This window comes from Homo sapiens, chromosome 8 (assembly GCF_000001405.40).
Source record: "Homo sapiens chromosome 8, GRCh38.p14 Primary Assembly".
In the NCBI taxonomy this organism is placed as follows: Eukaryota; Metazoa; Chordata; class Mammalia; order Primates; family Hominidae; genus Homo; species Homo sapiens.
In genome coordinates, this window is record NC_000008.11 from 129,257,914 (window position 1) to 129,279,355 (window position 21,442).

At 37.4% G+C, this 21,442-nt stretch overlaps 1 long non-coding RNA gene across 1 annotated transcript, besides 1 other annotated feature; it reads right to left on the reverse strand.

Moving 5' to 3' along the window:
* Nucleotides 1-1,189: 1,189 nt before the first annotated feature.
* Nucleotides 1,190-12,982, reverse strand: LOC124902024 (uncharacterized). The gene is made up of 2 exons (XR_007061112.1): nucleotides 9,867-12,982; nucleotides 1,190-8,353 (listed from the first exon to the last, which is right to left on the reverse strand). It is a non-coding gene; the product is annotated as an uncharacterized LOC124902024 (long non-coding RNA).
* Nucleotides 4,475-4,534: an enhancer, noted in NCBI's record as "active region_27963". NCBI's record gives its function as "activates an Ori minimal core promoter by ATAC-STARR-seq in GM12878 lymphoblastoid cells {active_cell/tissue: GM12878}" and the evidence as "EXISTENCE:reporter gene assay evidence [ECO:0000049][PMID:35858748]".
* Nucleotides 12,983-21,442: the final 8,460 nt, after the last annotated feature.

Here is a 21,442-nt window from a genome sequence, read left to right on the forward strand (position 1 = left end):
ACTAAAGCCTATGAAACAACAATTCTAAAACAGCCTTTCACCTAAAATCAAGTCATCCACTTAGGTGCAGACACCAGCTGTAATACAATCTGCTACAAAATACCAAGAGAGCTGAACTCTTTGAACTTTGTGGGTATTCAATGCCAATCTTTATGTATGTTCTTTAGGGTTTTCCTGGTTCATGTATCTGTGTTGGCTGTTTAGGGGGTGATAAGTAGTCTTAGCTCTTTTTCCTCTGAGTTCAGTTCAGATTGAGGCAAGAATATTAGACTGAACCCGGGAGGCAGAGGTTCAATCTCAACAACTCAACAAGCGAGAAACAACCCCATTAAAAAGTAGGCAAAGGACACAAATAGACATTTCTCAAAAGATGATATACAAGCAGCCAACAAACATAGGAAAAAATGATCAACATCACTAATCATTAGTGAAATGAAATTAAAACCAGAATGAGGTATTACTTGCACCAACCAGAATGACTATTATTAAAAAGTCAAAAAAAAAAAAAAAACCAACCACAGATGTTAACATGGATGAAGAGAAAAGGAAATGCTTATATACTGTTGGTGGGAATATAAATTAGTACAACCTCTATGTAAAACAGTATGAAAATTTTCCAAAGAACTAAAAATAAAACTACCATCTGACCCAGCAATTCCACTACTGGTTATATGCCCAAAGGAAAAGAAATTACTTTATCAAAAGACACCTGCATTTGTGTTTATTGTAGTACTATTCACAATATCAAAGTCATGGAATCAATCTAAACGCTCATCAAGGGTCTACTGGTTGCAGATTCCCTCGGTGTTTGTTTGTATGAGAAAGTCTTTGTTTCTCTTTCATTTTTAAAAAATAATTTCACAGGCTACAAAATACCAGGTTGGTTTTTTTTTTTTCTCTGAACTCTTTAAATATTTTCTTTCACTCTTTTCTTACTTGCAGGATTTCTGAGGACAAGTCAAATATAATTCTTATCTTTGCTCCTCTATAGATAAAGTATTTTTTCCACTGGATTCCTTCAGAATTTTTTCATTAATTTTCTGTAGTTTGAGTGTGATATTGCTAGGTATAGTTTTCTGCATTTATCCTGCTTGGTATTCCCTGAAATTCATGAATCTGGTTTGGTGTCTCTTGTGCCAGGTTCTAATTAGCCTAGTTGTGCTAACTCATGACTCAGTGGCCAATAAAATGCTTACGAATTCACAGTTTATTTCAAGCCTTTCACACATTATGCAAATTATGCAAATATATTCAATATACACAATGGGAGGAGGGTACTAGGGAAGGAACCACAGAGAGTAGCTCAGCTAGGGAGACCAACATGCTGACAGGACAGCACCAATACACTGGGGGTTGGGAGCAATCCATGGGGACATGGGGGTGTTGCTGCTCTTTTCTCAGAGGAGAGCTCTAGCAACAACAGCAGAAGGAAAGGAGGCCTCAGTGTTCTCATGGGCAGAGATTCTGTAAGCACCTTGCCATGGTCAGTCTCTTTGCAGTTTTTATGCCCCTCCACAGGAGTGTCCATGGCCATTATCTTTAGCTGTATTTTGGCTTCACTTTCCTGTCAGGTCTCAAAAAGGTCTGGCCACAGCAGGTGACATCTGATTACCTCAATCCACCATACATACATTCATCATTCTGAGGGTTCAGTAATGTCACTATAAGCTGAATCACTTGTCATAAGTACTCCATTTTGAGATATTTAGTATTACAAAGCATTATCCTATATCAATGTCTGACATTAATTAAGAAATTCTCAGTCATTTTTGTTTCAAATATTTATTCTCTTCCTTTCTCTCTTTGTTCTCCTTCTGGTACTGCCATTTCATGTATTTACACTTCTTGTAGTTATCCCACAGTTCTTGAATATTCTGTTCCCTTTTTTAGTTTAGTTTTATTTTCTTTGTTTTTCAGTTTGGGAGGTTCCTGTTGATATATTCTCAAGCACAGTGATTATTTCTTCAGCCATGTCTAGTCTACTAGTGAGAGCATCAAAGGCATTCTTTATTTCTGTTACACTGTTTTTTATCTCTAGCATTTCTTTCTTAGTTCTTTCTTAGGATTTTCATCTCTCTGCTTACATTGTGCATCTGTTCTTGCAATGCTGTCTACTTTATCCATTAAAGCCCTTATCATATTAAGCATAGTTGTTTTAAATCCCTGGTCTGATAATTCCAACATCCCTACCAGGCCTCGTTCTGATATTTCTTCTGTCTTTTCAAATTGTGTTTTTTGCTTTTTAGTGTATCTTGTAATTTTTTTATTGATAGCCAGACATGAGATACTGGTAAAAGGAACTGTTACAATAAGGCCTTTAGTGGTGGTAAAATGTAGGGGGATGGGCAGTGTTTATAGTCTTAGAACCAAGTCTCAGTCTTTTAGTGAACCCCACACCTCTGGCTCATGAACTTCATAAATGCCTCTCAGGTTTGTTTTCTTTTTCTTTATTTTCTTTCTTTTTTTTACTTCAGGTGTTTCTACATGGAAAGCTGGAGCTGGCTGAAGTTGGGTATTTCCCTTCCTGCTGGTCAGTGTGGCTGAGATAAAACTCTGGCAGGCTCTAGTTAGCTAATTTCTCTGAGGACAGATTTTGTTGAGAACAGAGTGCACTGATATATTTCAAAATCGTTCCTTTTCCCCTCCCCCTGCCAGAATAAGAGAGGACTTTTCTCTCATATTTACTATGAGAGCCTGGTTGAATTCCTGAGACAAAACTCACAAAAGTGTGGGGCCCCCCTATGACTAGGTCCCTCAGGAGTTTTTAAGTCTCACACTTGTCTACTTTGAACCACCAGCAATTTGTCAACTACGGTTCTGGATTCCCAACTCCAGCACTGGTTCCCATGGGGATTTCTGCTCCTGAGTTTCTGCTCCAGTGAGTTGTGATTCTCTGTATTCATCTGCCTGTCTCTCCAGCTTTAGAGGCAGCAGTTTGCCCTGTGACCTACTTCTCTTATAGATCTAAGAAGAATTGATCCATGTTGATTTTTCAGTTGCTCAGCTTTTCCCTTATTATTAGGATGGAGTGGTGACTTTCAAGCTCTTTACATGCAGAACCAGAAACCAAAGTTCCACGGTAATTTTTAAAGCAAAAAAAATTACTAAATATTAAAAGGTATGGTTTTTGATTATAAAAGCATCAACCTTTAAGGAAAATGTACCATTGCAAAATTTGTATCCACCTAATAACATAGCTTCAAAATACTTTATAAAGCAAGTACTAACAGAACTAAGAGAAATAGACAAATTCAGTCACTTGGCAGAAGTTAATGCATATGTCTGTAAAGTTCTGATTAAGGTAAGCAGACATAAATTCAGTAAGAATTTGTGATATTTAAATATTATGAATAATAAATATGAATTACTCCACACAGAGAACTGTTGATATGGTTTGACTCTGTGTCCCCCCGCCAAATCTCATCTTGTAGCTCCCATAATTCCCACATGTTATTCCCACAGGGACCTGGTGGGAGATGTTTGAATCACGGAGGCAGGTCTTTCCCATGCTGTTCTCATGATAGTGAATAAATATCACGAGATCTGATGGTTTTAAAAAAGAGGAGTTTCCTTGCACAAGCTCTCTCTCTTTGCTTGCCACTATCCATGTAAGATGTCACTTGCTCCTCCTTGCCTTTCACCTTCCTCCATGATTATGAGGCCTCTCCAGCCATGTGGAACTGTAAGTCCAATAAACCTCTTTCTTTTGTAAACTGCCCAGTCTCAGACATGAAAACGGACTAATACAACTATGAATCTAATAACTGCAGAAAAAAATAATCCACAAGGGAATCTGAGGAATGTATAGAAAACATACTTTTATTATTGTTGATGGTGAATTAGAGGAAGTGCTTTACCCTTTGTCAAGGTAAGCCTTTCAACTGCTGCTTCTACCACCACCACCTCCATCACATTAAACTTATCTTCCTGTATTAAGTAGCTGGACAGTTGTAGACCTGCCAATGAGGAGGAAGAAGAGAAAAGAAAACCAAAGCTGTGTACTTGTAGATCTGATTTTCCAAATTCCACATTCAGATCAGGTGCTTCTTTTGTGAGGAGGGTGGCACAGAAAGTCAGAACTGTTTCTGTCCTAATTAATTTCTCTCCTGATAGTGGAAGTTTCCTCCTGGAAATATGTTAATTAGAAACTGTGCTTCCTTCAGATTTATCCATGTTATCATAAATGACAGGATTCCCCTCATTTTAAAGGCTGAAGAGTATTTCATTGTTTGTATCCACTCATCCGTTGCTGGACACCTAGGTGGTTTTCACAGTTGGCTATTGTGAATAACGCTGCAATGAACTTGGAGGTACAAATATCCCTTCGACATACTAATTTCAGTTCCTTTGGCTACATACCCAGAAGTGAGATTACTGGTCCTATGGTAGTTCCATTTTCACTTTCTTGAGGAATCTCCATGTTGCTTTCTATAATGGTTATACTAATTTACATTTCCACCAACAATGTATGAGTTATGAGTTTTGTTTTCCCCACATTCTCTCCAACACTTGTTATCTTTTATCTTTTTGAAAAAAGGCATTCTTAAAGGTGTGAGGTGACATCTCATTGTGGTTTTCATTTGCATTTTTCTCATGATTTGTGATGCTAAGCATTTTTTCATGTACCTATTGTCCATTTTTGTTTTCTTTTGAGAAATCTCATTATGCTGAGTGAGGTAAGTCCAGCACAGAAAGAAAGACAAATACCACATGAACTCACTTAACATGGGAATTCTAGTACAGTTGAACTTATAGAAGTAGAAAGATTGTTATCAGAGGGTATGCAGGGGTGGCACCAATAGGGAGTTGTTGATCAAAGGATACAAAGTTGCAGATAGAAGGAATAGGTTTTGAGATTTATGGCACACCAGGGTAACAGTCAATAATAACGTATTATATATTTCAAAATAACTATGAGAGTATATTTCTAATGTTTCATACTAATAAATGACAGGCAAGCAAGGTGATAGATATGTTAGTTAGTTCAATTTAACCATGCCACATTATATAGATATATCAAAACATCACATTGTACCCCATAAATGTATACAATGGGATTAAAAAAAGGAAATTGGGTTTCCCCCTAACAGTATCTGAAGGAGATACTGTGATTCAGAGAATGACACAAAAATGTTATTTATAATACTATTTTAGCACTGACCATATTTTTATTTGCACAGAATGTTTGTATGCCTGACACCTCATCTCCAGAAACCAGATCTTATTAACATGTGAATTCCCAACAGTTCACATAGTTCTTGGCACATCAGAGATGTTCTATAAGAATTTGTTGAATAAATTATGAGTCCCTCAAAATTTGGAACAAGGTGAGGAAAGGTACTTGGCAGAGACTAAAATCGATCTATGAATAATAAACAGACCTTTACAGAAGTAGTCCTTCCTAAATCATGACACGTAAATGTCTTCCTAAGGAAACTTGGAAATCATCCAAACTCAATCAGGGTAGCTGTGTACATCCTCACATCTAAAATGTAACACAGAACAGTCATGGTTTCATCTGTTGAATTTAAACTGGACAGTCAGAGGGAAGATATGTTAATAGATCCATGTAGTATATATGGAAATAGGGATTGGGTCAGGGTCATTAACGTAGCACAGGACAAACAGCAGCTTTCATTGGCCAATCTGAGGCTTTTGAACTAAAGATGGGGACTCAGCATTTAGAGTGCCAGGAAATCCTATTCAACCCCCCATTTCAACCCTTAAAGCAGGAATCATTAGCCCTTTGTAATGGAATGAAACACTAAGGTCCAAAGAGAATGAATATTTACTCTAATTATTGCTGTTTGAGAATCAAATCTTAATCTTTCTAATCCCCAAACCCTAGACTCTTTCAACTTTCCTATACAAGTTCCCCAAAGTTGCCTCTAAAAGATGTTTCGTGTTTACTCCCTTTTCTTGTTAAGGAAGGTACTGATATGGACTTTACTGTCTTTGGAAATTTCCTTCACAGGGGGAAAATGTGATGACACACAAGAACAGTTTCATTCCTATTATATTTATATTCTCTATCTTTCATTTATAAAATGGACCCTGGCTTAATAATCAATATCTAATGATATTGCTTAGTCATTGACTGTATTCACTTCTTTTTTTAGTAATTCCAATTTTTATTTTAGATTCAGGGGGAACATGCTCTTTTAGTTCCTCCTTCCTTACTCTCATCTATTTGTTGCCCCTCCTTTGTTGTTGACTCTTATCTTTTTACCACTGCAGAGTTTTTAATTTTAGTCAACCTTACATATCTTTCCACTCATTCTTTAACCCACATTATTATGGCTTCTATTTCTGCTTTTTTCAAAGTTCACAAGTTGACTCCTGCTTTATCTGACACTGTAGTTTAAACTCTGTCCTTTCTCAGTTTCTCTGTCTGTAATCTCTTCTTATCCTTCTAACTATGCATTCTCAGCCTTCTTTATAGCTTCTCTTTCTGTTTCCTCTGTTTGAACAAGTATTCTCCAGTGATCAGTCCTCTGCATTCTTGCTACTTTTATCTTTGTTCCATTTCCGAGTAGTTTCTAGGAGTCCAAGGATTCACCAAGGAGATGTGATGGTATGAAGGAAAATAATGAGGACAAAGGGGCAATATGGCACATCTTCTTTGAACATTTATTTTTATTAAGATTTGGAGATAGATTGTTTTATAACAAGACATAAATGGATATATTATAAAATAAAAAGACAAAATTTACATAAAATTTTAAAATGAGACATGAGGCATGAAGAAAAGTCAAAGTCATTGCATCTGATTTTAAGCCATGTCTCCAGAATCCCTGGGCATATTTTTTCATTATTGTCCATTATCACAAGTACATTTATGGAAAAACAAGTGTGCACAGAACTCATGTAAGATCTTGTTTTATGACTGATAAATTATATCAATAAACCTAATGAATTTTGAGTCCTAACTTCAAATCCCCAAATGTTTCCTAAATTTTAATGATTACTATTATTATTCTAATCATTCCTAAGCTGTTAATGCTAATTTGATAAGCACTATTGCACAGAATAGTACAGAATTGTCCTCTGGCAGGAGCAGGGCGTTAAAATAGGGGTGACTATCTTCTTGTCCAAAAACCTGCTCTAGAGAGCTGGGAAAACAAGACACTTGGATCAGGAATGCCTAGTATGTATTTATGAACCAACAGTTGTAAAATAGTGTCACAAATTATGCCATGGGACTGAGAGGTATCACCTAGGAGAGTGCACTGTTGCTCAACACAAGAACACCTCCAGCCCTCCTTTGCTATAAAGTGGGTCTTCTGGGTTGATACAATGTTAGGAATCCCACACTAGCATATCATGCTGTAAGCATTCAAATCGTGGTCGTTGCTTAAATTTCAAAGGTAATAAAGGCTAATACTAACCCAAAATATTGTGTCTGTTCCTGTGAGAATGAACCACTGGTTTATCTAGAACAGAATAGGCCTGATGTGGTCAACTCATCTTGTCAAGGATTGGTGCTATGTCAAGAGTTCATTGTTTTATTTCTTCTGCTGGATCATCCAACATCCATTGCCATGCCATTTCAGTAGCTCGTCAGCCTTGGTCAGTGGGAGTCCATGCCGTAGGACTTGTGCGTAATCTCCATCTCTGCCACCTTGGCCACATCGCTCATGTGCCTATCACACCAACACTGGGGTTGCTGATGAAAGAAGCTGGTTGATATCAACTAACTAATCATTTTGTCTCCTTGGCTGCTTAGTGCCTTTCTGATGGTAGGTACTCTCAGGTGGCTGTTCATCTGTTGTACAATGATACATTGTGCCTACTTCCAAATGCACATTCATATGCCTGTAGCCAAAACTCCTGCCTCTGGTCTTCCAATGCCTTTCTTTCCACATCACTGACCAGCCTGCCAGGCCATTTACACCTGTCCATGTGTCCATATATATTCTAACCTTGGCCAATTATCTTTTCTCACAAAATGGATATCCATAAAATGGATAACCAGGGGCAATGCTCAAAGCTCTGGGCAGGAGCTTTCTTCCTTGCTATTGCCTTTCAAGATCACTAATGCAATGCACACTAAACCAAGAGTCAGCTTGGTGGGGAGTTCTCGAGTTAGTATTACCTGTCAGAGTATCCCTCAGTGACCCCACCTGAGCGGTTTTTATGCCCTTACCTCACTTTGTTATAAGATGTAGTCTGCCCAAGGAAGAATGAGACCTCAGGTCAGGTGGTTCCTTGACGCTGAGGTAGATCCTGAAGAAGCTGATGGCTGGAGGATGTCTGCTGATTCCTGTCCCCTGTAGTCGGTAGCAAGTCCTTCCTGAAGGGTAATCTCAACAGTGCATCTCTCTGTCTACCAATCCTTTTCTTAACACAATGCCTGGAATATAGTATATTTTGAATGTGTATTTCTTTTCTAAGAAACACAAAAACATGGCCACAGTGACTTCTTCTATTTTCTTAGTATGAAAAGATCTCTAAAGTTAAGTGGTTACTTGTGTTGGTTCAATACATCAATAATATCTACAACTTTCTTGACATTATCCTCATGGTTGCAAAGTGGCAACTATCACATTCCAGGCAGGAATGAGAAAGTGATTGCTTATGTTGGTTCAGTACATCAATAGTGTCTTTAACTTTCTTGCCATTATCCTCATGGTCACAAGTTGGCAACTATCACATTCCAGACAAGAATGAGAAAGGGCATTGCAGTATGTTGTCCTTCTTTATCAGAAAATCAAAACCTTTTTAAGAAATCTGCACATATACACCATGGAATACTATGCAGCCATAAAAAATGATGAGTTCATGTCCTTTGTAGGGACATGAATGAAATTGGAAATCATCATTCTCAGTAAACTATCACAAGAACAAAAAACCAAACACCGCATATTCTCACTCATAGGTGGGAATTGAACAATGAGAACACATGGACACAGGAAGGGGAAAATCACACTCTGGGGACTGTTGTGGGCTGGGGGGAGGGGGGAGGGATAGCAATGGGAGATATACCTAATGCTAGATGACGAGTTAGTGGGTGCAGCGCACCAGCATGGCACATGTATACATATGTAACTAACCTGCACATTGTGCACATGTTCCCTAAAACTTAAAGTATAATAATAAATTTTTAAAAAGTAAAAAAAAAAAAGAAAAAGTAAAAAAAATAAAAAAAAAAGAATTCTGCAGGAAAACTTCCTTTTCTTAGGCCTCTTTGGGCAGAACTAAGATACACTAGAGCTTCCAAGAATGCTGAGAATAGGATTGTCGAGATTAACTTACACCAATAAAAATTTATTGCTTGGATGTGGATACAATGCTCCCTCTCAAAATGGAAAAAAAATAACATGAGAGGGCTGCTAGCCTGAAAAAAGGAAAGGAAGTTGAACATTAGGTAGAATACTAACAATATCTGCCCACTTCATATATGTTTATTGAATAGGGAATGATTTTTTGTTGTCATGCAAATAATTCCTCCAACAGGAACAAGTTTGACTAAATCATTCTGAGGTCATTTCAACCTCAGTCTTGAACTAAAGGAAACATTAAAGGCCATCCGTAATTAACAAAAAGAAATATCTTAATTATGGCAAACCATCAAGACAGCCAGAAAAAAATAGAGAAAAATTATTTAGCGTCATAGCCAGACTCATTTGGTATCCCCAGAGGAATCTTCAGGCAGCCATTGACTTTCTGAGCAGAGCTGCTGAGGCAAGGGTAAGCCAAAGAGGAATAATAACCACTCTGTCCTTCCAGTGGATCAGGAAAATAATGATCAGCTGTAGGGTCTATGAAAAGCCTCAATCTTACCACCTTTAACGACCCACCCCCGCCTTCCTCCCCACCCCTGACGGATTCCCCTACTCAAAATCTGACGTAAATTGTTTCCTTACCATGGCAAGCTGCCCAAGATTTCTGGGAAGTATGTTTAAACAGGAGTCCTGCCAGGGCTGAAATCAGCAGTGCTTCTGTGTAGCCTGCAATGTAAGCTGTAATTAGGGATATTGAGATCCCTGAATTTGTAGGCCAAGTAAGTGTGTATGTATAGGGTGGGTGTATAAACACACACACATTATTATGTGTGTGTTTGTATATACTTGTGTATATAAAATTGTATATATACAACAAAATTACATAATTACATAAATATGTAATTACATATATAATTTTCTATTCATTTATTAACTTAAAATATGAAAAAAAACAAAGAAAACAAAAGACTTTGTTAGTTTGATGGAGGGTGGCAATCTTCCCAAGTCTGTTTTCTTTCTCCTCTATTTTCAATCATTCATTAACTCATTTATGCATTCTTTCCATTAAAGAACTATTCTTGGGTCAAGAGAGGCTAGCAAGATAAATACGGACTGCATCCTCACAGAGCTTATAGTGAAAGGCTGACTTTAACCCAATATTTAACATCATTTTTCGATGACATCTACTCTTTTTCCTCCTTCTGCTTTTCCTATTCTTCACTATTTCAGGGTTGAAGTAAAATATTGCCTGCTGGGATGATATAGTTGAAGAAGCAGGAGCTAGGGAATAAAACGATTTTGATTGGAATTCCAGCTGAACCACTTGCAAACTATTGGACCTTCAGAAATTTACTAAACCCACATCAGTTCCTTTTTATTTTTCATCTGAGCAGGTGCCCAGTGGTCTATTCACATACTGATATACCCCTTTTTCATTCTTCATTTCCTCAGCTGTACTTTCTTAAGCCACCCCAAAACTTGTTGGTAATTTCTCATGAAGTCATCTCTCTTCTTGGCATACAGAGATATTCCTTGTGTCCTAATGACTCCGTTCTTTATTTGTTAAACTTAGTAAAATTGTATTGAGGAATAACACACATACACAAAAGTATACAAATTACATATGTGCAGTTTTATGGATTTTCATAAACTTGAACAAACCTGTATAACCAGCATCCATATCATAAAATTGAACATTATCGGCTTCCCAGAATCCCTTGTACCCTCATCTGATCTCTGCACCCGAAAAGTAACTATTATTCTAATTTCTATCACCAAGATTACTTTTAACTCTTGCTAAAATCTGTATTAACAGGATTATACTCTAGGCACTCTTTTGCTTAGGGCTTCTCTCACTAACTCAATGTTTATAAGATAAATTAATGTTGCTGACTACAGTTGCGTCTTTCATTCTCATTGCTATATAATATTTTATTATATAAACACATCACAGTTTGCCTATCTGTCCTTCTGTGGATAAATATTTATATTATTCTACTTTAAGACCATTATAGTGTTGCTGTAAATATTCTCAAAGATGATTTTCTTTTGTTGATATATGTTGACAAGTGTTCATTTAGGTACCTAGGACTGAATAACTGGGTCATAGGATATGAAAATGTCCAACTTTAGTCAACACTGCCAAACAGTTTCCCAAAGTGTTTGCAACAACATATGCTCCTGCAGGCAGTGTGTAAGAGTTTCTGTTGCTCAACATGGTCACTAACTTTAGATATGTTTGCCTTTTTCATTTGAATCATTCTGGTTAATGCATAGTGACATTGCATTGTGATTTTAACTTTCACTTCCCTGATGACTAATGGAGCTGAACAACTTTTCTTAAGTTTATCGGTGATTTAAATATACTCTTATGAAGTTTCTATTCAGGCTTTTTGCCCAAGTTTTGCTGTTGAGTTGTCTGTCTTGTACTTATTGACTAGTAGCAGTTCTTTATATATTTTGGATATAAATCCTTTGTTAGCATGTGTATTGCAATTATCTACCCTTACCCTGTGGCTTACCTTTGGTTTTGACTCATTTTGTTCATTATTGAATATTTTGCAATATCCTGATGTTGTGAAAACATCAGTAAAATCATGACTCTGCATCTTCTTTTCTGTGAAAATTCAAATGTGTTCATCATCTTCTCTAAATCTCAGCTCCCTATATACAAAATGAAAATAATGACCTCTGCATAACCTACGTGATATTGTTTTTGGGAGGAACAAGTAGATACTTCATGTGCAATAGTTTGAGAATTTATACAGTATTTAGGTTACAAATTATAACTATGGTTTAATCATCTTTATGGATTACTTTTATTACTATTAGTAGTCATTGTCTCCAGAGAAAGAAATAATCAAGTTTTGTGCTGCGTAGAAAAATAGAATAGGTAGAAATCCTGTGAGAGTGATATCCTTGTTCGTAGCTGTGGGACAAAGAACTTTTAGTTATGGCACCTATACAGGAATAGAATCTCGTAAGACTGATATAATTCTCCCAGATATGAGCCTCAGCACTTACATAATAAATATTTTTAGAACCTGATATTCTTTATTTCTCATTTCTTCTAGGTCCTCTTACTTCCAAATGAATATATCCAATTAGGCAAAAATATCTTCCCCGAGAAAGTGGTGCCATTCTCCAGGAACCTCGAATGGACCTATATCAGAATAAGGTTTTTAATCTATTTTATTCCCACAAGGCAAGTAGCAATTGACTTTTCTTGAGAACTTAGTGATTTAGGACTGTGGGCGATAAAAGAAATATTTAATTAATAAGAGGTCAGATGCTGACACTTTGGGATAATCTCATCCTGCCTCCTACTTTCATACCTGGGAAAACTGAGGCTATGAGAGAGAATTACATACGTAAAGAGGTACCTGAAGTAAGGGAAGGACAAAAGACTAGAATTATGCTTTAGATATTCTGGAGGCAGCCTCTGCATCTGGAGGCAGGGTCTGTATCTGTTTTATTCACAGCTATAGTATGTGGTGCACCAACACAATACCTGTCCATCAGCCTGCCTGCTACTTTTTAAACACAAAACTCATTCCCATCTTCAAGGAGAACCAACTTAATAAACACTTAGCTCTTAAAAATATATAACATAACAAAAACAACTAATTGTACAGGAAATTTACACAGCTGGGAAAATTTGTACAAATAATCATTTGTACTTATGAGATCCTAGTCGTGTTCCTCTGAGAATCCTTCCAAAACCACCCACACCTTAAGACAAGAGTTAACTTGTATTCTCATAGCAATGTTCTTAATTCTATCACAGTAGTGTGTATTTTACTACCTCATATTATACATAGCTATTCATGTTTTTAAATCCGCTAGACTGTGACTAATACAGACCTTGGTAAAATAATGTGCATTTTAGTAAATAGCATTTCCACTTCTTATTCTGAGCCTTTAGGGGAAAAAAAAGTCAGACTTCGGTGTGGCCTGGCTGTGGTCAAGTGAACTAGGTACCTGGTAGGTGATCCATAAACAGCTGTTACAGGAGTGATTTAATCAACCAACAAATATTTAATGGTTGATTTGTATACTACTCTAGTATCTCAATCTATATTCCCAGTGCTACTCAACCGAGGAAAAATTTGTCCCCTTCCCCCAGGAGAGATTTAGATATTTTTGGTTTCCACAATTGTGGGGGAGCGGATGGGAGTACTGAGTGTATATAGGCACCTAGTGGGTAGAGATCAGGGATGCACAGGATAGCCCCTACAGCAAGGACTTATCCGGCCCAAAATGTCAATAGTGCCAAAGCTGAAAAACCCTGCTATGTATCCATTGTGACTAAAGTGTTACCTAATGGCTTGCATAGTCCAGAAGAAAGACTACAATTGGTTTAATTAGGAGATACATCTCCTTTAAGGGGAAGAAGTATGCAATTACACAGCTCTTTTTCTTTAAACCTTGAAGTGAACGAGCCAATCAGCCTTGTTCATCTGTGGAGATTCAACAATGAGTGTTCTGATCCAATCCAGAGGTTACCTTCTAATCATTTAGGTCATTGAACAATTGCTTATTGTATGCCTAACAGTTGCCTATCACTGTACTAAACTAAAAGACAAGGCAAAATAGAAACAATTTCCATGGAATTACTGCTTTCCCCTTTTCAAAACACTTTTATTTTGTGATCTCACAACTCCACTTTAAGGAGGACATGTATTATTGGCCCAATCTGACAGGTGAAGAAACTAAGACACAGAGCTATAAATAAATAGAGCCCCTATCTGCCAAAGATTAGAATTCTCTCACTAATATAAATGTGAAACCATTGCTTGTATAAAATTGGCAACAAGCAACACAATGAAACCTATTAAAATGGCATGACCACTTTGTAGTTGCCTATTTGGAGTCAAAAAAGTGGTAAAGGAAAGCAACGCTAACTCTTCCTCAGGCACCTCTTTGGTAAAACCACCCATTGCAATCAGGATTAAGAAGCTCAGCTGAACTAACTAGTCCTACAAGATTCTCCCTATCTGGGTGGATCTGATGGTCCCATTAAGATCAGCACACCTCAGCATAATTGAACTAGTTTCTGTGAGCTATCTTGTAAGACTTTATCATTTAAAATAAGTACAAGCATATATAAAAATAATAAATGCACATTTTAGTAAATAACAGGCCTTATTTTTCTGAATTTATTGATGAAGAAACTAAGGCTCTTAGCAGTTAGATGACTTGCCCAAGGCCACATGTTTGCATGGTGGTGATTACACCACATGGCCTTTTGAAACTGACGCTTTTGTTCCTGAACTCTCTCCTCTTTTTAAATCATCATTACCACTTCTCTACCCACCACCTTAATTTTCTTTAGCCAAAAAAAAAAAAAAAAAAAAAAAAAAAAAAAAGCTGGTAGAGGGAAGCACAAACTCAGAAAAGTATGATACCTCCAGGGATTTTTTATGACTCACTAAAATAACTAAATGCATCCTCTGGGAAACAGAGTCAGAGTAAAGAATGTGGGAAGATATTCTCCTTCCTCTGAACTGACTGGATGTGACATTCTCTGATTGACATTCTTCGATTCCCACGGGGAGAACAGAACTCTGTGTTCCCTAAGTATGGAGCCCTGAGATGAGAGGCATCTTTATCTTTTCCGAGAAAAAATGGGATCACTATGACCAAAAAAATAGCCTTTCCTCTACCAAGTGGCACAGTTGAGACAAGGAAATGTTCCCTGCAAAGCAAGCCAACACCCACAGATTCCAAGCCTGGCTGTGGTCAAGTGGACCAGGCACACTGAATTCTGGTCATTGCATCTGCTAGGATAGATGGTCCTTGATTTAATTTCAAACCATGTTTATGAGCCTTAACAATAATTTGATATGTGAGACACATATAATTACACAGTAAATTTTATGTTTTTAATTGAGTTACTCCTAATATGTATTCCCTAATGGGGTTTTGAGAATACAGAGTACTAACAAGTTGAATCATGGCTATTCTTCTCAGGATCATCTCTGACACAGGAGCATTATTACACTCCTATAGCTTGGGGGATAGTGTGTGATCAGTAACGGCGTTATGTTTACGGAGCAAGGGAATTTTTCATTTTCTATAATAATATCAACAACAATTGAGAGCCTTTCATGAAACTATACTAGTACTAGAGAGAGGAGAAGAATCAGACACAATTTCACTCCCATAAGATAACTGACTATTTGATTCTATTAAAGTAATCGTTGTTATTACTTATCATGTATGGGGTTCTGTGCTACGCACAAAAGGTATAAAGAGGAATTTGAGAAGCAATTTCTATGCTCAAAGAGAGACAAATCTACTCCTAAATAACTTCATACCATGGTGATAACACCATAGTAATTGCTTGCATAAAGTGCTATGCTAGCACAAATGTAGGAGTGACCAATTCTACAAAAGTTATTAAACAAAGGTTGTGAAACAAATGTAACAAATGTTTGAGGCTGCTGGGACTGCCAGTAAGACCAATCAGTCTTAGTCCTACAAGACGGTCTTCCAAACCCTAACTCAATGACCAGTGGTTGATTCAGTGACCACACAGACACACAGACTTATTTAACTACCACCCCATCAAGGCACAAGATTTGTTTCATTGGGAAAGTTTTTTTTTTAGGGCTATTGTATTCAGTTCTCTGCTTTCATTTCATAAACTGAGGTCAGGAAGCCAGTCCAGAATATGAGTAACTCTGAAGTCTTATAAAATTTCACAAGAAGGAAAGATAATTGCATGTGTGTGCAGGGCCAGATTTCAGGGAGGCGATAGTCTTACTAGTCTCAATGGAGACAATGACTGAAACTATTACTACTCAGTCTCTGCTTCTTCCGGAACAGCTGAGCAAAAGCGTTCTGACATTGAGTCTTTTAAGCCTAGATCGGCATTATTTCGTCTAACTGATCAAGAAGTGTATAAAATGATGTGGCCTTATGTAGTAAACCTTTAGTCTCTGGCCTCTTGAGACCAGTTAAACCTTCCCAATATCCCATGATCCATCAATAAATATCACTGCCAGGCCTTAACTTATATTAAGCACTGGGGAATCAATAACAAATGAGCCATAATCCCTGTCTTCCAGCATTGTACACTTCAGGGAAGAGAAAAATACCTAAACTGGCAATTAAAAGTCTGATTCCAGGGTGCTTCATGAACTGAGGAAGGGTTCAGATTGCAGGCCCTGGAGAGCTGAGAGGTGGAAGGAAGACTTCCTAGATGAAGTAGTATCTAAGCTAAGTCCTGAAATACACGAAGGAGAATCTAAGTGAAAAAGGATTAGAGAAGGGTGCATTTCAGGCAAAGGAAGCAATAAAAACAAAGGCCCAAGAAGCAGAAAAAGGCAGGGTGCTGTCAGGACCCTAAAAAAGTTCTGAATAGATGGAACATAGCAGGGAAGACATGAATGATTGCGAGTGGAAAGAGATACTGCTAGAATTGTATGCTAGTCAGTTTCTGTAAGTTCAGATTTATTTCAAAGGCAGCAAAACTTTGAAGGTTTTTAATAGGGTAGTATACGAGTGTGGTGTGTGTGTGTATGTGTGTAAAGAGTACCCCAAAGGCTGGGGAAAAGTGGATTAGTGGGGATCAAGACTAAAGTTAGTAGACAAACTGGGAGGCTGTTTTGTGTCCCAGAAAGGAAACAATGGAACACTGAAATAAGAATGGCAGTGTATTAGAGACACATTAGTGTAATAAAGAATCTTCAAGGACTTGAAAAGGAGAATTGGCAGTTGATTGGATGTTGAAACTGAAGGAAAGGGAAGGCTCAAGGATGTTTAAGTTTGGATTTAGAAATTGGATAGATAATGGTCCTATTTACTGAGAGCAGTAATACTTCATTTTTAAATTTTTTTTTTTTTTTTTGCTTTTTTCCACTCAGAAGCAGGTTGTTACTTGAGTAATTTAGCAAATAACTAATCATCTAAATTAAATGATTGTTCTACAAAAGTGATTTATTAAATACTGGTTTTCTCTCTATTACTAATTATATTTATTATATATGAGGCTGCTCACGAGAGTGTAGTTTGATCTAAATTTTAAATTGTACACTTATGCTGTTTGGCAAAGATAAAAACATGCAGGAGAATCTATGAGTACTGAATAAACAACTGTTAATTGACATATGCAAGACTATTGGCAAGTCCTTCCACACACACATACTTAACCCACAGTATTGCAAGGTGCTGTGAAAAAATGAATTAAGTAGAAGAGCTTTGGCTGCCTATGCTTTTTGGGCCCTAAGAAATTATTGCCGAGACCAATGTCATAGAGATTTTCCCCCTTTCTAGTAGTTTTACAATTTTAGGTCTTACATTTAAGTCTTTAATTCATTTGAGTTGATTTCTGTATATGATGTTGAGATAAAGATAAAAATCTTTCGTCTTCAGATATCCAATTTTCCCATAGCAATTTATGGAGGATACTTTCCTTTCCCCATTGTGTGTTTTTGGTGCCTTTGTTAACAATCAGTTGATCATAAATATGTGAATTTACTTCTGGGCTTTCTATTGGTCTATGTGTCTGTTTTTAATGCCAATATCATGCTGTTTTGATTACTACAGCTTTGTAGTATATTTTTAATGTTTGTTTCCATATTTTCAGTACCCATCTCAAATAAGTGTCCATCTGGGGTTCCTAGAACAACAGTTCTGGAACCAAGTTATCTTTTCACCTGATGTTATGTTACCTAACTCTGGTTTCTTTGTTATATATATACAGGAAAGAAGCTAGACACAGTCACACAGTATATGATTTCATTTATATGAAATATCTAGAATAGGTAAATCCACACAAACAGAAAGCAGATTAGTGATTGCCAGCGGGTATGGGAAAGGGGGAAAGGGAATAACTGCTTAACTGTTTTGAAGTTTTCTTTTGGAGTAACAAAAATATTTTCAAGCTAGAGAGACATGGTGCTTGTACAACATTATGAATGTACTAAATGTCACATAACTGTTCACTTTAAAATGGTTAATTTTATGTTCGGTGAATGCTACCTCAATATACCTTTCTAAAAATATGCACAGGGGAAAAATAATCATGCCAAGGACAAAAGCTCCCACTTCCCAGTTCTCATCTAAACCTGAGGTATGTTTGATTTCTGGTCTTCCTCCACACTTTCAGATCATCATTTCTTTACACAAACATAATGTTAAGCCTGACAAATCAATGTGACAATTAGAGAAATAGTTGAAAGTTTCAACTATGTATAAAGTTATGTAAATAACTTTAAAATTATAAAGTAAATAGTAGGTTCCTTTTTAACCTTTATTCTTCATGCTATAAAATCTCTTTGACAAGTTAGTGATTTCATGTGGGGAGGGGCATCTATGAATATGTCGATGTTCCTGACTGTCTGGAAGTTTCGTTTTCTTTCTCTTAAAGTCATGTTTTCCATTGTCTTGCAGATCTTTTAGCCAAAGCTAGGGCATTTGTTGTGGGGATCACCTTATGGCCTCCCCTCCCATAGTAAGCTGTCCCAGTGGCTCTCCAAGGACATGCTGCATTTACTGCGTATCCATTTCAAAGATTGACTAATTGCTCCACAGGCTGCAAAAAGTGCACTCTCAAATCATAAAAGGGAAACATTCTGGCTTTTCCCAGGCCACAAAGCATGACCAAGTTGATTAGGACTCATAATTCACACTGCCGATACCTGAGCTTGATCCTCCGAGAAACAGCTGCCTTATAAAAGCAGAGATAGAGAACATATATCACACTGTTCAGGCAGCCATAGTCACAGCTTTGCATCCACAATAAATGGCTTCTGCCCTCTCTGGCCAGGGCTGCACTGGAAATGAAACAATAAGAGTGGGAAATAGCCTTTATTTATTGAGTTCACTAACCTAATCATCAAATCAAAGCCCAGCCTACACAGTTCACAGAATCCAAAGAACGAACGATGAAAAACACTTTGGTGGACAAGTGATCTGTTCCCAGGAGCTGGCACTGAACATCCTCCCCACAGGATGTTTGTCAGTGTCCAGATCTCCAATATTTGGAGTGAGGAAGCAATCAGTGCTCTGCCGTGACACACACCATTTAGGGATGATGGGCCTCGCCAAAGCCTGTTTGAGTTCTTATGGCTCAAAAAGGAGCCACTGCTTGCAATTAGAAGGTAATAAAAAGAGGCATCATGATAAACATTACAAAAAGCAACCTTTTGTGGTCATATGTGTCAAGCTGGGAGATACAGACTGAAAGAAACTGTTTCATAGCTTAGGGGATAGTCATGTTCTGTGGGAAAATCAGGTGAGTGAATGCTCTTCTGGAGAAGATACAGCCCATCTTGGAATTTATATGTTGTGATAAGTCTGTCTCTTGCTGACAAGGAGCTCTAAAGTGACGCTATGTATCAGTAGGTTTGACAAACAAGCTTTGGAATTGCCCAGATGTTGCTTTGAATCATAGCACTATACTTCATTCATTCATTCAATCATCCAACATGTATTTCCAAGTGGCTATTGTGTGCTTAAGGATCAAGCAGTGGATGAGCTAGGACCCTCCTCTCAAGCTTGTCACCCAGGGTGTATTGAACAAGAAAGCTGACATCATAATACAGCTGAGAAGTGCTTTGATGAGACTTGGCACAAGGTGGGACTATAAAGGAGAAGGAATTGACACAGGAGGGCAGGCCAGGAAATTAGTACATGGATATGTAAGATGGGAAACAAAGTGTGTATGAAAAGACCCAGAATATAACAAGTATCAGGGGTTCAGAGAAAAACAAAATGGGCCTGGACTCGGTAGCAACATGAGAAAGAGTTCTTATAGGCAGAAGGCAAAGAGACTTAAGAATTGTATGCAGAGAAGTGACATAGGAACATAAACTTTAGGAAAATGTTACTAATTGTATAACTTTTAATAAACCACTTAATCCCACTAAGCCTCAGTTTTCAATATGGATAAAACTACCTACATTTCTTTGCAAATTAAATGAGATAATGTATATAAATTGCTCACTGCCTGAATCCTAGAAACTAGTTACTCAACAATAACCATAACAAAATATGTGAATTGAAATTTGAAATAACTTTTGAACTTTGTTTTCTGTACAACTTCTACTGTTTTATAAAAAATTTTTTTGTAAATTCAGGTACAAAGTGGTTAATTTAATATTTCAGCTTTTCGAGAGTTGGAGAGATTCATTTCTTCGATCAATTATTCAATATGTTTAGTAAGCATCTTTTCTGTGCCACTCACTGAACTTGCCATTGGAGATGTAATGATGAAAATGTTGATTCCATGACGTTTCCATTAGAAGAAGAAGCAGTTGCTTAAATTAAGTATCAAGCAAATTGAGTGGGGCAGTGTGGTTTGGGGTTTATTGCAGAGGCTACTGGTTGCTGTCAAGTATCTATTCTCTTTTCTTTATGAACAGAATTCTCATTTTTGGTGTTGACACTGTTCTGTTTCATGACCTGGGTGTTGTTTACACAGATGGACTCCCTTTGAGAAAATTTGTCAATATATACACTTACCTGGGCATATTTATCTGGCTAAAAAGATTACATTTGTAAGACTCCCTTGCAGCTAGGAAGGTAATATTACTGAGTTCTAGCCAATAAAGAATAAACACAGGCCGGGCGTGGTGACTCACACCTGTAATCCCAGCACTTTGGGAGGCTGAGGCAGGCAGATCACAAGGTCAGGAGTTCGAGACCAGCCTGACCAACATGGTGAAACCCCATCTTTAAAATACAAAAATTAGCCGGGCATGGTGGCGCACATCTATAATCCCAGCTACTCAGGAGGCTGAGGCAGGAGAATCACTTGAACCCCGGAGGCAGAGGTTTCAGTGAGCCAAGATAGCACCATTGCACTCCAGCCTGGATGACAGAGTGAGACTGTCTCGAAAAAAAATAAAAAAATAAAGATAAACACAGATGCTGAGTGGTATTGCCAGTAAGTCTTTTTAAAGGAATATGGAAGTGATCTTGCCCAATTGCCTCCTCGATCCTGAGACCAGGAAACACATATGATGTATATGTAGACTATCTTGAATTATGAGGGCAAAAATAATATCCTAAGGATATTTGAGAGGTTAGCTAGAAAAAGCCTTGGCCCTGCCTGACAACTTTTCACAAATCCTATGCCTCCAGATTTAGTTTACATGAGGAAGAGTGGGAAAACGTGATCTTTTTTTTTTTTTTTTTTGAGACGGAGTCTCACTCTGTCGCCCAGGCTGGAGTGCAGTGGCATGATCTCGGCTCACTGCAACCTTCGT